General features: G+C 34.2%; 1 protein-coding gene across 69 annotated transcripts in view; it reads left to right on the forward strand.

Annotated features, from left to right (window-relative positions):
• Nucleotides 1-16,099, forward strand: part of GULP1 (GULP PTB domain containing engulfment adaptor 1) — a 304,053-nt gene that overhangs the window by 269,542 nt on the left and 18,412 nt on the right. For 62 of the 69 annotated variants that reach the window (NR_164745.1, NM_001375929.1, NM_001375936.1 and 59 more), the window contains 2 exons: nt 7,824-7,940; nt 8,613-8,705. Coding sequence is in view for 67 of the 69 variants with exons in the window: in NM_001375929.1 (NP_001362858.1) it covers nt 7,824-7,940; nt 8,613-8,705 (210 nt within the window). In the remaining 2 variants the exon portion in view is untranslated. Of the gene's footprint in view, nt 1-7,823; nt 7,941-8,204; nt 8,229-8,612; nt 8,706-16,099 lie in introns of all 69 variants that reach the window. The other 7 variants (NR_164744.1, NM_001375941.1, NM_001375951.1 and 4 more) reach the window with 1 other exon arrangement.

Consider the following 16,099-nt stretch of genomic DNA (forward strand, 5'->3'; position numbering starts at 1 on the left):
TATGATGGGCTGGGTGAGCCAGTCTTCAGGCCCTCAGGTGCCAGTTAAGGTAATAGCAGCCAGGAGTTTAGAGTTTAGGGCCAACCTCATGCCTCTGGGAGGTGCACTCAAGTGCCCAATGTGGTGGATTGGGTTGGGTAATCCACATGATCCTGGGCTAAGTCCTGGGGTCTGTGCTGGGCAGGCTTGTGCTCAGATCTCCCAGTGGTGACAGTAGTCACTAGCTGTAGTGGGCAGGGGCAGGGCAATTCTCAGGTCCCTGGCAGAATGCATGAGTGAGGGGCAGTAGTAGCCACGCTGAGGCCCCAGCATTGCAGAGGTTGGCGTTGGCCTTGGTAGCCACATCTTGGGCTGGGGAGTGGGGAATGCACATCATTCTCATGGCCCAGTCCTGTTGCACTTGCCTTCAGCCCTGGCAGTGGTAGTCCTTGCCTAGGTTGTACCTCAGCCCCCGCTACAGGAGCCCCTACTCAGCTTGTGACTAAGTTTCAGTGGCAACTTGCACCCAGTCACATCCCATTCTCAGTCTCAGTGGCACTTGTATTCTACCCGGCAGCTACAGCCAATGCCTTGCTTGTTTCTCAGCCCCACCCGTGGGAGCTTATTCCCAGGTCATGTCCTAGTCCCAGCAGCAACAGCCCAAGTTTCCCTAATGCCTCAGCCTCAGCACTTCTGGGCCCCAGGACAGTGTGCAATCTGCTCAAGGCTAGGATTCAAACTGGCATCTTGCTGTAGCTGCTTGGGTCTCAGAAATGATGTGGGACCTAGTGCAAGCTCCCTCCTGGGAGCAGTTCTATCACATGGTCTACGAACAGCTCCATATTTTAGTTTCAGGAGTTGGGAGCATTGAGGGGCTGTCCCTTGACCAGGGTTGCATGATTCCATGATGCAGATGAGGGCTGCTGGAAGTCTCTCACTCACCCTTTTCCCATGTATGGAAAGTCACTCCTGGCTCCCAGCTGATCTCAACCAAACAGGCTGCCTGTCTTCTTCCTTCCTTGCTTTTGGTGTTTCCTGTCACTTTTCTGTTGAATTCTGGTCTTTGCTCTTGGATTATATATTCAAAATGTGATTAAAGTGCCAAGATGTATTTATGAAATGACATTAATTTATTAAAAAATGAAACAAAATCTAACAGTTTTATTTGGCAAAAAGGCAAATCTACAATTATAGTTGTACATTTTAATAGTTTTCTCAGCAATTGACAGAACAAGTAGAAAAAAAGTCAATAAAAGTACCAAAAAAAACCCCCAAAACCCAATATCATCCACCACTTTAATAGACGTGAATAGAATGCTATCCCAAGCAACAGAGTATACTTTCCTTTTGAATGCACATGGAATGTTTACAGAGGTATACTATATGCTGGGCCATAATGGGAGACTCAATAAGTTTCAAAACTGAAAATATCACAGCATATATTGTCTAACTACAAATATATGGAACTAAATATTTGGCCCACATATTTAGAGTTAAATATTTTGTACAAATATTTAGAATTAAAACACCCTTTATATAACTATAGCTAAAAGAAAAGTTACAGGGGAATTAAATTATTCTTTAACTGAAGAACAGTAAAATACAATGTATCAAAATTTGTAAAGCTGCTGAGAGGCAAATTCATAGCTTTCAATCTTTATGTAAGAAAAGATAGAAAAGTTAAAATTAATCATTTTAGTCCTGACATAAAGTTAAATGAAAACAAGAAAAACAAATCAAAATTAAAGTGGAAGGTTAAGAAACACTACAGTAGAATCAATGACATTGAAATTGGACAAACAATAAAGAAAATTAACAAGGCCAAATATTGGTGCTTCATTAAGAATGAAATTAGCAATCTCTAAAAACTTCATCAAGGACAAAAGTGACAGAAAACACAAATTGCCAATACTAGAAATAGTGGATGTAGCTGCAGATCCTATATTCTTTAAAAGGATACAAAGATAAATATTATATAACTATTATACCAGTAAATTTGGTAAATAATATAAATTGATAAATATCTTGAAACTCAATTTACCAAATTGACAGAAAAGAAGTAGAAAATCTGAATATATAAAATTACATACAAATATTTAATATAAATTAATTTATAAATGTAATTTATATTTATATTTTTAAAAAATTATATTTTTTTTATCTTTTTTTTATATTTTTAAAAAAGATTCGGAACTAAATATTTGGCCCACATATTTGGAATTAAATATTTGGCCCAAATATTTGACAAAACTTTTTGACAAGTGAAATACCAAGCTCAGATAGTTTCACTATTAAAATCTGTAAAACATTTCTTTTTAAAATACCAATTATACATAAACCTTTTCAGAATTAAGAGAATAAAGTTACAGTTCCAAATCATTTTATGAAGACTGTGTTACCCTGATTGAAAACATGACAAAGACCTTACAAAAAATGAAAATTATGTTCCAGTGTTTCTTATGACATAGACTTAACACTCTTTTGCAAAATAATTCCAAATCGAGTCCAGCAATATATAAAATAGATAGTACATTATTACCAGGTGAGGTTTATCCCAGGAATTCAAGTTTGGTTTAACATAAGAAAAATCAATCAACGTAATACAACATCTTAACAGAATAATAACACAGTAGTTTCAGCAAGTACAGAAAAGCCACTAGACAAAATTTAACCCATTGCTGATAAAATTTATAGCATGCTAGGAATAGAAGAGACATTGTTTTTCTGATAAAAACTTTAAAAGTTCTACAGGTAACATCATAATTAATGGTAAATTATTGAATGCTTTCCTTCTAAGACTGGGAACAATGCAAGGATGTCCATTCTTACTACCTATTTAACGTGGTATTAGGTGCCTTAGCTAGTGAATAGATGGAGAGGAAGGGCACAAGGATTGGAAAGAAATAGGAAAAAATTGTCTTTTTTCACATATATAATATCAACTTTTTTACATAAAAATTGCTGAGATCTACAACCACTAGATTTATGAAACAAATTTAGCAAAAACAAAGCTTACAAATCAATGTACAAAATTAAATTGTGTCTGTCTACTAGCAAAAAGAAAGAAAGAAAAATGTATTTACCGTAGCATCAGGAAACATGAAATAATGAGAATTTTAAAAATATGCAAGCCCTCTATACTGAAATCTTCAAAGTATTGATGTAAGTAAAAAAGACCTAAAATAATGGGAGAAAGATACCATGTTTATAGATTGGAAGGCTCAGTTTAATTGTGGTTAATTCTACCAAATTGATCGATCCATGGATTCAATACAATTCTGATTAAAATCACAATGGGATTGTTAGTAAAAACTGAAAAGTTATTTCTAATAAGGTAATGTAAATTACCTAGAACAAAAACAAATTAATTTTGAGAGAGAAGACCAAAATCTGGGCAAGCATACCTGATGTCAGAACTTACCTTAAACTCTTATCAAGTCAGGGTGATATTAATGTAATAATAATAAATGAACTGTATTGTAGAGTTTAGAAATATCCATACATACATGGTTAATTTTTTTTCCCACAAATGTGACAAAAAATTCAATGGAAAAAAGAAAGTCTTTTTGACAAATGGTTTTGAAATAACTAGCTAAATATATGGGAAAAAATTATGAAAATTATCTCCTACTTACGCTACATAAAACTATTTGAGGTGGATCATAGACATAAAAGTAGAAGCTTTTGTAATCTTATACGTAACTTTCATTAAAAAACATAGAATGTCATTATGAACTTTGGATGGATAGTGATTTCCTGGAAATGACCCCAAAAGCACTACACATGAACAAAAAAAGGATACAATGGACTTTATCAAAAATAAAACATTTTCTGTTAATCTATAAACACTATCAGCAAACTGAAAAAGCAAGTGGCTATATTCCCAATACGTGTATCTGAAAAAGGATCTGTATCCAGACTATATAAAAAACTCCTAAAAATCACAAATAAAAAGACAAAACACCTAATAAAAGTGGGCAGTAGACTTCTACAGGGAGTTAGTTTATTAAAGAGAACATAAAAGAGGCAATGAACACACGAAACTGAGCAATATTATTATTCAACAGGGAAATATAAATTTAAAACACATTACTATAGCATCACTCATCCAATATATTGTCTCAAATGAAAAAGACTGTCAATATCTTGTTTCTGAGAATGTGACATAATGAGAACTCTCTTAACTGCTGGTGGAAATGCAAAATTATATTATTACTTTGGAAAACAGTTGCACAGTTTCTTATAATGTTAAACCTCCCATGATTTAACAGTTACATTCTAGATATTTACCAAGAGACAAGAAAACATATGTCTACAAAAAGATCTTAGAAGAATGTTTGTGGTAGTTTCATGTCTAATAACTAAGAACTGACAAAACCATGAATGTCCATCCATAGTACAATGGATAAATCACTTGTGGTATATTTGTAACATGAAATGCTAATCAGCAACAAAACCAATGTGTTATTGATAAGTACAACACGTATGAAACTCAGAAACTTTAATTTAGTAGAAGAATACAGACACAAAATAATACATATTAGTCTATTTTTATAGATATCAAGGACAGGCAAAACTGATTTATAATGATAAAAATTGAAGAATCGTCACCCATAATAGATGAGATTTGACTGAAAGTAGGCATAAGAGACATTCTGGTGGGCTAGAAATATTCTTTATTTTTAATAAGTTGGAGATTATATATCTTATATGATTCATAAATTTATCATGATCTGTGCATTTCATTGTATATAAATTTTACCCCCCACCTCCAAAAATGTGATGGTTGGAGAGTCAGAAATCTGGATTTAAATTCAGTTTCTCCATTCACTAGCTTTAGGCAAGTTATACAACTTTACAAAATTGCAGTTTCATCATATGTATTGTGGGGTAATAATAATCCTTACTTCAGAGCCATGATGAGAATCAAGTAAGATAATATATGCAGAATATTTACTAGACAGCTAAGTGCCTAGTAAAGATGTTATTATAAAATGAGAACATGGTTTTTTAAAGTTATTAATATAAATAAATAATATGAGGCCAAATGTCATTAATGAATAATTAATAATGTTACCATTTAAATGATTCTTTATAATGTACAAATTGAGTATTTAAAGATAACATAATGTCTCGTTAAAAGGATACATCGACACTTTGGGAGGCCAAGGCGGGTGGATCACCTGTGGTCAGGAGTTCAAGACCAGCCTGGCTAACGTGGTGAAACCCAGTCTCTATAAAAATAAAAAAAATTAGCTGGGTGTGGTGGTGCGTGCCTGTAGTCCCAGCTACTCAGGAAGCTGAGACAGGAGAATCTCTTGAACTCGGGAGTGGAGGTTGCAGTGAGCTGAGATTGCGCCACTGCACTCCAGCCTGGGTAGCTGAGTGAGACTCCATCTCAAAAAAAAAAAAAAAAAAAAAAAAAAGGGGAAGGATACATCGAAATCATAATTTAGAAGGGAAGCAACCTATAATTAAAAATCCAACCATCTGACAAAGGTCTAATATCCAGAATTTGCAAGGAACTTAAACTTATTTATAAGAAAAAAACAACCCCATCACAAAGCGGGCAAAGGATATGAAGAGACACTTCTCAAAAGAAGACATTTATGCAGCCAAGAAGCATATGAAAAAAAAACTCAACATCACTGATCATCAGAGAAATGCAAATCAAAACCACAATGAGGTACCATCTCACACCAGTCAGAAGGGTGATTATTAAAAAGTCAGGAAAAAATAGATGCTGGCAAGGCTGTGGAGAAATATAAATGTTTTTACACTGTTGGTGGGGATGTAAATTAGTTCAGTTATTGTGGAAGACAGTGTGGCGATTCCTCAAGGATCTAGAACTAGAACTACCATTTGACCCAGAGATCTCATTACTGGGTATATACCCAAAGGAATACAAATCATGCTACTATAAAGACAAATGCACGCGTATGTTTATTGCAGCACTATTTCCAATAGCAAAGACTTGGAACCAACCCAAATGCCCATCAATGATAGATTGGATAAAGAAAAGGTGGTACATATATCCCATATCCCATGGAATACTCTGCAGCCATAAAAAGGAATGAGATAATGTCCTTTGCAGGGACATGGATGAAGCTGGAAGCTATCATCCTTAGCAAACTAACACAGGAACAGAAAACCAAACACCACATGTTCTCACCCAGAAGTGGGAGTTGAACAATGAGAACACATGGACACAGAGAGGGGAACAACACACACCAGGACCCATTAGGGGGTGGGAGGCGAGGGGAGGGAACTTAGAGGATGGGTCAATAGGTGCAGCAAACCACCATGGCACACGTATACTGTATAACTAACCTGCACATTCTGCACATGTATCCCATTTTGTTTTGGAAGAAATTTTTAAAAAGAAGAAGAAAAACGTCTTTTTATTGTAAAATAAACAGAAACCTATTACCCAAAGTTTTGAAATGAGAAACAGAAAACAAATTATTCATAATCCCACAATCTATCAAAACCACTTCTTTAATATTACAAATAATCTTAATATCTAACACAACCAATTAGTTTAAGTCAATGAACATGCATACATTGGTATCTGTCATTTTCATTTATTTGGTAGTTTTTATTATAGCTCGTTGTTTACTTTCTTGTCTTTTTTCTTTTCTTTTGTAAAACAGTCTTCCTTTAAAATATTATGTACATATTTTGCATTTTTTAGTTAACTAGGTTAAATACTATATTTTTGTCTAAAACCCTCCTTAAATAATGAACTATAAAAATTCTATTAAATGATATAAGATGATTAACAAAGCATGTTTTCATTTTATGTTGATCACAGTAGATAATAAATTATTAGAATTTGTAGTAGAGTTAAAGCATAGCATTTTCAATATATATTACTACTAGTCTTCTTGTTATCTGGAGGTCTTACTAAATATGACATAATTGTGACAACATTAAATCTTATTGATGCCTTTACCAAAATTCTTTATAATGTTGATTAAGTAAATAAATCTTTAGTCTTTACTATGTGCAAGACATTATGAATTCAGTGGAGATATGAATGGAGAAGAAATGAGCTTGTGGATGTAAGATATATTTGTGGCAGTTTCAAATCAATAGATCTGAGATTGTAAGTTGTTTACAAGCCCAAATTCAGATGACATATATATTTTGATCACTGGCACTGTGTTTTACCAAAATACAAACTGTTTACCATCGCTTAAAATTGGGAGCTCTCATATAAAATTTCAGACTTCTGGCCTCATCTTTCATACATAAGATCTGACAGTTTCAGATTGGAATTGCTCACTTCCACCAGGCAACAATTAACTGGGACAGAGTAGCAGGTGTTCCATTTAGAGGGCATACCTCAAGTTTTCCAGAGACACCACCTGGCCAGCCTCATTCAAGTTACCTGCTTAGGGTTTAACAAACCCTCCTCACAAGGAAAAGGAAATAAATAGCAAAGCAAGGAGAGAAACTACATTTGGCACTCTGCTTTCATTTCATAGGCACTAAATATTTGAGAAAGGGAGAAAAACAAGTAGGAAAAAACAATACAATAAAAGAGATGAGAAGTTTGACATAAAGAACTCTTGCTTCCAACTTTCCCACTTCAACAGCTATTCAGTAATACCCACCCCCAAGTCCGCTTGTTTTTTCAATGTTGTGCCTGGGTAGGTGTTGAGTTATTACATTAGCCTACTACCTTGCTCATTTAATACATCTCTACTCCCAACTGTTGCCCTTTTGAAGTACCTCTTGTGAATGTCTTGGAGTAAGTGCTTATATGAATGTTGTTTTCTCGATTCAAAAACAGTTTGACATATTATTAAAATGCAAATCTTTGTTTGATTTTTACACAGGCTGAAGAGATCACTTTAACAATTGGCCAAGCATTTGACCTGGCATACAGGAAATTTCTAGAATCAGGAGGAAAAGATGTTGAAACAAGAAAACAGATCGCAGGGTTACAAAAAAGAGTGAGTAAACTAAGCTTGTTGTTTTACATTTGTGTGATGTAAGTACAGGGAAACTTGCATATCGTCAAACAAATTTAGAAGCCCTGCCATTAAATTTCACCCACACTGACTGATTGGAACTGCTTTCACCGTGTTCCCATAATTTTTCGTTCCTGATCCCCTGCACAGTTTTTTTTTTTTAACTATTTTATATTGAATTCCCACAAGAACTTAGTGTTCTCATGTGACTTTGCTTCACTTCCTGATGCTTCTCATGGGGATCAGAGCAGCAGAAGCAGCAGATGCTGGGTAAGTGGTTTTCCATGCAGATCAGATTCCTTGGTAATTAAATTATGCCTTTCTCCACTCTTCAAAATCATCATAAGCAAGTTTCACTGTCTTGTGGTTATATTCCAAGATTATGGGTATAGATTGCACAGTCCAACAAGAAAACACAATGTTGAGATATTAGGAACATAAAATTTGCACACACATAAAAATATATTATAAATTTAAGTCTTTCAATGATCTAGAATCCTCCAGCATTTCCCAAGCTTTATCAAACAATTTTCTCCCCACGCACAACAAAGTACATTAAAGTTTTACGTAATATAAATTCCTACTCATAACTGTAGCCAATATTTTCCAAGAAAAAAAAAACAGAAAGTTATTCAATAATGATTTTCTTTTTAGATCCAAGACTTAGAAACAGAAAATATGGAACTTAAAAATAAAGTACAAGATTTGGAAAACCAACTGAGAATAACTCAAGTATCAGCACCTCCAGTGAGTATATTGAATATCCTTAGAAACAAGATTTTATGGTGATAAAACATCTGTGTATCACTAGTTCTGCAATATTTCATATAATACTTGGGGATCAGTAATTTCAAAGTAAACATGGATAGAGATGAAGGCTGCTAAGCAGTTTAATTTAAAACTTAAAATTACCTAGTCAGTTCAAATCAGAGTTGTTTTCTATGTTGCTGTTTTCCTCTGGGTTTTCTAACATAATTCAACCCTCAGGTTAGTCTTAAGTTTTATTACATAATATAATTTTTCTCTTTGTGGCATATTCTTCTTTTGTTTCTATTAATTACTATTTGCTGGGTTAGATTTAATGACCTATGCCAGTCTCCCCTTGAAGTGCTCAACTTCATTGTAGGAATTCAACTGTGAGCAAGACTGAACCTGGTTTCTTATATTACATGGTAAGGGTTCCCGCTGGGAGTGAGGCAATTGTATTTCAAACATTAAAATGAGTGGTATTCTCTGCAGACAAAACTCAAGTCTTTGTAGTTAAAATATTTATGTCTGACTTGTCACAGTTTTGAAATCCTTTTCCCAATACCATGTATGATATCATTATTACATGATTTTGGCAAAGGGAATTTATTGGAGGGAGGTGGAATTTAAAACAATATTTTTTCTAGGCAAAATATATTCAGGAAAAGATATTTTTCTGTTTGAATCATCTGTACTACTGATATTCTTTATTAAAGTGTATTTATTATTCTTCATTTAAAAATATTTAATATCTATGCCAAGCACAGTGGCTTATATCTGTAATCCCAACATTTTGGGAGGCCAAGGCAGGCAGATCATTTGAGCCCAGGGGTTCAAGACCAGTCTGGCAACATGGTGAAACCTTGTCTCTACAAAAAATACAAAAAATTATCCAGGCATATTGGCACACACCTGTAGTCTCAGCCACTGAGGAGGCTGAGGTAAGAGGATGGCATGAGCCCAGAGGTCATGGCTGCAGTGATCCATGATAGCACCACTCCACTGCAGCCTGGGTGACAGAGAAAGACTCTGTTTCAAAAAAAATTAATATCTAACTTATAACATAAACATGAACTGAAAAAAGAAATTTGTTGCAAAATTTTTTATGGAAGCTTATTGTGCTTCAATACGTAGGATAAACTCAATGAAAATGTTCATTTCTTAATATCTAATACTAGAATCATTCACAAGCTCATCACTATGAAAAAGGATGTTTCTATAGAAGTTTCATTTAGGGTTTCAAACTTGGCACACTCTGGAAATGGGTCAAAAAATGATTTTTCCTGTAAACTCACATTTTTCCACCTCCCATTTGAAAGAGTGAGTATTTCCATTGCTTGGCAGATGGTTTGTGCCAGTAGGGCTCCTATGGCCTTGATGAGAGAGGTTGGGACTGAGGTACCAATGTATCTATGCTGGAGCATCCTCTTCAGGTTCTGGTTTTATTCTGATATTCCTTCTTATTTTTTCTTGTCACTGTCTGCTGCTCACCAGGATTATGATTTTTTTCTTGCCTCTCTCGCTGCTAGGGACAGAACATCAGTTCAAACTCATTATTCAACCTTCCATCCCAAGATGGAACACACATCCTCTTGGGTTTTGTTGAAATTCATATTGTAAGCCATGTTGCGAAATATGCTAGGAGAATAAGAATAAATGTACTTCATTTATGTGAAGGGAAGTAACTTTTTCAAGGAGTTTTGATAACGTAGTTGTTTCTGGAATTCATCACATATGAAGAGTAGCTTTGCTTTCATTTTTGTGTTGACAAAGGAGTAAAATAAGCTCCATCACCTTCTTGGATGCAAATCCAAACCTGGTCATTGTGTAACCTCTTTATCTGAGGAAGAACATTTGAGAGGAGCAAAGAGGTTTCAAACATATTAATAAAACTGCAGCCTACCTTTTTTATCTTCCCAAAGCAGACACTGCTCTGAGAAGAAGGTGGGTCAGGATTATTAATGTGCATTGGTGATCTCATAGGGTTACTGAGTCAGCTTCAGAAATGACAAAGGACAGGAGGAATGACAAGATGACCCTTGCTTCAGTGTCTTTGACCATTTGGCTGAAATAGCCATTTCAAGTGGAAAGCATGCAAGTTGGTATATAAATGAAACATAGCCTATTCATAAGTATAATTCATTTATTTAGCAATTCTCATTAGTAGAGCCAGTTATATATAAAGAGTAAAAATAATGAAATAGCTATGTTTTAAAATGAATTAGCACTCCTGAGGTTACATCATTTAACAATTATTTTAGGCATTGTGTTCATCTCAGCCTGGATTTATCTAAATAAAATGCTTCAAAAACTACAACTAAGAGGTTGAATTTAAAAACAAATCACTTTCTTTAAATCACGGTCTTACACTGAGTTCATATATATGTAGAAAATTTATTGTATCCTTGATCATTATGGAAATAACAAATTATAACTTTGCAATCTACTTATAGTCTTTTGTCATGTAATGTTGTTGTCTACACTTTTTCTTTAACTTTAAAAATTATTTGTCACATGGCTTTTTAGCTCTTAAAATCTTATCATATGATTTTTTAAATTGTTGATATGCTGGAAGATATACATCTTCATTAAGATAGAATCTGGAGGACATTATACTAAGTGAAATAAGCCATGCACAGAAAGACAAATATCACGTGATGTCACTCATATGTGGAATCCAAGAAAGTCAAACTCATAGAAGCAGAGAGTAGACTAGTGGTTGCTGGGGGCTGGGGCAGAGTTGTGGAGAAAGGGTCTAGAAGATGATCAAAGGATGCAACATTTTAATTAGGAGAAATAAGTTCAAGAGATCTCTTGTACAACATGGTGATTATAGTTAATAACAAGGTATTATATACTTGAAAATTGCCAAGAGTAGTTTTAATTGTTCTCACAACAAATATGTGAAAATAGAATTTATTTGATTTTTAGAAGAAAGTGAACTCAAGAGCATTTTAAAATTGCTAAAATTTAAATGTAAAATTAAATGCTAAAATGTAAAATGTAAATTAATGAGATATCTAACCAATTCAAATGGTTTAAAAAACATTGTTACAGCATTTGCTAATGTGTTTCCTATTAAAAAACATTTTTGCCTTTCATTTCAAATTTTAGTAATGTAGCTATGAAATAAACTCGTAGAACACTTAAGTACAGCTTATTTATCTCATATCTATTCAAATGAGCTCCCAAATTCCTGATATTAAAATAAAACAAAAATAGTTACCTGCAATTATTTTTGAAGATTTATTAATGATTCAGATTATTGAATTTGAAAAACAGACAATGCAAATTGCAAATAATAAAATGTGAATTTAAAATATTTAATAGCTTACCATGTGTCTGCAATAAAGCAAATTTCTGTTAAGTTAGAAATGTTTTACATCTGTTCTTTCTTATGAAATTTGAACATCAGTTTTACAGGACACACAGCAGGAACACAAAGTACCTCACAGAGTGCCCCCATGGCTAGCAAAGTAAATGTTTAATGAGTTTATAACCCTGGAAATAGGACTCTGTGGGTTTTATGTGTTTGTTTTGAGCTCAGAGGACTGAGGATTAGAGTGCTCCAAAATGAGTAAGTTCTCATCAGTTTATTCAAAGGATTAGAGGCAGTGATCTACACATTCATTAAAGAAGCATTGAAGTAAATTATGAATCCCGTGATGCATATTGAATTACAACATAGGTGGGTATGGTGTATGCAATTAATTTAGCATCTGATGAGTTTTTAGTGGTGAGAGGAGCCCCTAACACAGAAAACTCTTCACAACTGACCAGCCCAAGACAGGTCTTGATCCCATTGGAAGCCAAATTTTTCAAGTCACAGAAAGGTGACACTTTTGTCAAAAATCTCTAATTGAGGTGTAGTTCTTTATAAATGATTTAATGCTATAATTTGGTTCACAAATATATACTTATAAGCACAATAATGTTCTAAAATATCTGGATATGCTGGTCTAACACAATATAGTTCACACTAAGCAATTGCTAGTCAAATAAAAGACATATTTAATCTTAGCTTTAGTATAGTCTCTTTGGGGAAAGGGAAAGAAAAAAAGTAGGAATGGAATTTTGGGAGTTGTGGAATTAAAAGTAAAGTGAAAATAAAAATAATGTAAATCACTATTATAGATATTATTTTATTTTCAGTTTATGATGAAGTAGAAGATGAAGCCAGATGTGGCAAGCAACAGAAACATTCTTGATAAAATTTGATTAGGCTGGGCATGGTGGCTCATGCCTATAGTCATAGCACTTTGGGAGGCAGAGGTAGGCTGATAGCTTGAGTCCAGGAGTTGGAGACCAGCCTAGGCAACATGGCAAAGCCCCATTTCTACCAAAAATACAAAAATTAGCTGGGCATGATGGTGCATGCCTGTAGTCTCAGCTACTTGGGAGGTTGAGGTGGAAAGATTGCTTGAGCCGGGGAGGTGGAGGCTATGGTAAGCCTGGGAGGTCAAGGTTGCAATGAGCCGTGATCATGCCACTATATTCCAGCCTGGGTCACAGAGTAAGACCCTGTCTCAAAAACAAACAAACAAACAACAACAACAACAAAACTTGGCTAGATAACTAAAAAATGACAAGCCATCTTCTCTAACAAGAGGTCCAAAGTTAAAGTTGAATTTCCGTAATACAAGACAATGATTCAAATCTACCAAATCGTCTAATAATATATTACAGTCTTATTGATGTTGATATCCTTATTCTATGTTAAATCATAAATTTAAAATGTGAGGCCCAATGCAGTAGAATGATCTACATGGACACCTTTGTATTTTAAAGAGTCTCTGTTTAGGTGAGAACATACGTGCATGTTTCTACTTTCCTCAGAGACACTCTAAGGGAAGGTTGCTATTTCTTAGAAAGTTTGTCAGTCACTTATATGTTATATACATGAACATGAATTGGTCATACTGATGGATTTTGAATTGCAAACTAAATAATTTTAGGTTGAAGCCTTGAATAAAAATATTCAAGACTTCTAAAAAGTTCCCTCAAGGTTTTATGGTGTACATTTTAGTTTTGGTTTTGGTCTTCCTAGTCCCACTGCTTCATCACTGGGATTTTGAAATTGTTCTTAGTAGTAGACCGTATGTTACAATGCATATCACTTTAATTTTCATTTTGTCTCACTTGTCTATTGTATACATTTGATATAGTTGTGATCTGCTATGGAATATTATAAAATGTGTACTGAAGATCTAATATTTCCATACGTCTAGGCTCTTTGGTTTTTACAGTTTATGTATTTCAGATGTTAAAGGGTTTACATCCATGGGGGAAAGAAAGAGAGGTTGGTAATAAACACGTAAATATTTCAATAAATACATGTAAAAATGTAGATCTTATATATGCTATGAATAAAACAAAATAGAGCAGAATAGAAGAGAATGATTGAGAATTTTGTTTAGAGAAAGTGACCAGGGAAGCAAGCTCCTTCTAAGGAGGTAGCACTTGAATTGCAATCTGAATGATAAAATGTTAGCAAATGCAACAGGCTGAAAACAATAACAAGAACTTTGCAGCTGCAGTGTAGTGACTGAAAGCCAAAATAATTGGAAAAGACATTGAAGAGAAACTCAGAGTCTAGATTTGATAAGCCTTCACAGGCAATGGCAAAGGATTGGTATTTTTTTTTAATGCAATGATATGTCACTTGAAGGTTTTAAATGGGATTTGTGGATCATCTGGCTGCTATATGCAGCATGGACTCTAAAGAGGCCAAAGTGATATCCCAGAAGGAGACATTTCAGTAGTCTAGGAGAAGGGTAAATTGGCCTATAATTCTACCTGTGGAGGTTATGAGCAGAGCTTGATTTTTGACACATTTTGAAAGTAGAGCTTGCAAAATTTACTAATGGATTGGTTGGGGGCAGTACACACACACACACACAAAAGGAGCAGGAATGTCCCTTCAGGTTTTCTCCTTAACATGTGGGAAGTGATGCCATTTTCTGAAATAGACATGACTTAGGAGTAGTGAGTGGTAAAGAATCAATATTTCACTTTTGCCTACGTTATTTCTGCCAACTAGACAGCCAATTGGAGATGCTTATTCGATGGCTGAATATACAAATCTGGAATTCATAGAGAAGGTCTGGTCTCATGATGTGTGCTTGAGTGAAAAAAAAAAGCTTGTCCTTTTTTATTGTCATTGTTTATTGTTTAGTTAATATGCCCAATATAACTTTGGTCACTGTGAGCTTATGTAATTGAGTTCTAGCTAAAGAAAATAATATGAGACTACTTTTTTGTTCAGTATTAAAATTAAGACATCCCTAACAATAAAAAGTATACCTTTAATATTTGCTTCCGACCCTTTTCACTTAAAACCAATTCACCAATTCTTCATATGCATGATAAATGGAGACCACTCCTATTTCTCACTTTCTCATATAAAAATTGATATGAATATATAACACTTCATGTATATAAAATATTTTCTTACTTGTTTTTAAACAGAATACTTACATATCTTCTAAATACCACACAGTTGGGTCAATCATGGGTTCCTTTTCTATCAAGTGAAATAGCCTTCAATTGTACCTATATTACATACCTCTGCATCACACTGAAATTGTGGAAATCTTTTCAATGGTTTTAGAAATTGGATCCTTATTTTATACAGTCACTTAGATACACTGAGAAATTTCCGTTACTTGACTGTGCTGTTTGCTTTTTGCTGTGTTTCAGTGGTTTGGCAATAGATTAGAGGTTGGGTTTTCCACCATTTGGTACTAATTTTCTGGGAACAATCTGATTTCCATTTATTACATTCATATGGCAATGCTGCCTGTATTTATATTAGAAAAAGAGTTTATTCTGCCCTCATAGCCTCATAGCCTCATGAATGCCTGCAGAAGATTGTTTCATTATAAGATGTGGGCATAACAAGTTAAATCAAAATGTTCCTCTTGATTCTTGTATCTGGGTACTTTCATTTTACTCTTCTGACTATAGAAGGTTTTAACCAAACCAGACTATTGCCAGGAAGTTAAGTGAGTAAAATTGTAGTCCTAGGGAATACTGGATTCTATTGCTGAGTAAAACAAATGTCTTCCTTTCAATTAAACCCAGTGTTAGATAAAATTATTTCTTTACATAATCAACTGTGTGGCCACTGATTAGACTTGATAGGACAATTATAACCTAAAACGTATATTTCATTGTGGATAAACAATGTATCTATTTATTTTCCTCTAGTGTTTTTTCTGCTACTATTGAAGTGAGAATGGGCAAGAGCAGATTGTGAAAGGTCTTAATTACACAACAAGCTGAATGTGAATCTTTAAACAAAGGCATAAATTTTAAACATGAATTGGTTCAAGAATATTTGATGCCCACAAAAAATGATTACCATTCTGCAACTTCACTTTCATAATTGTTAG

Source organism: Homo sapiens, chromosome 2 (assembly GCF_000001405.40).
Source record: "Homo sapiens chromosome 2, GRCh38.p14 Primary Assembly".
NCBI lineage: Eukaryota > Metazoa > Chordata > Mammalia > Primates > Hominidae > Homo > Homo sapiens.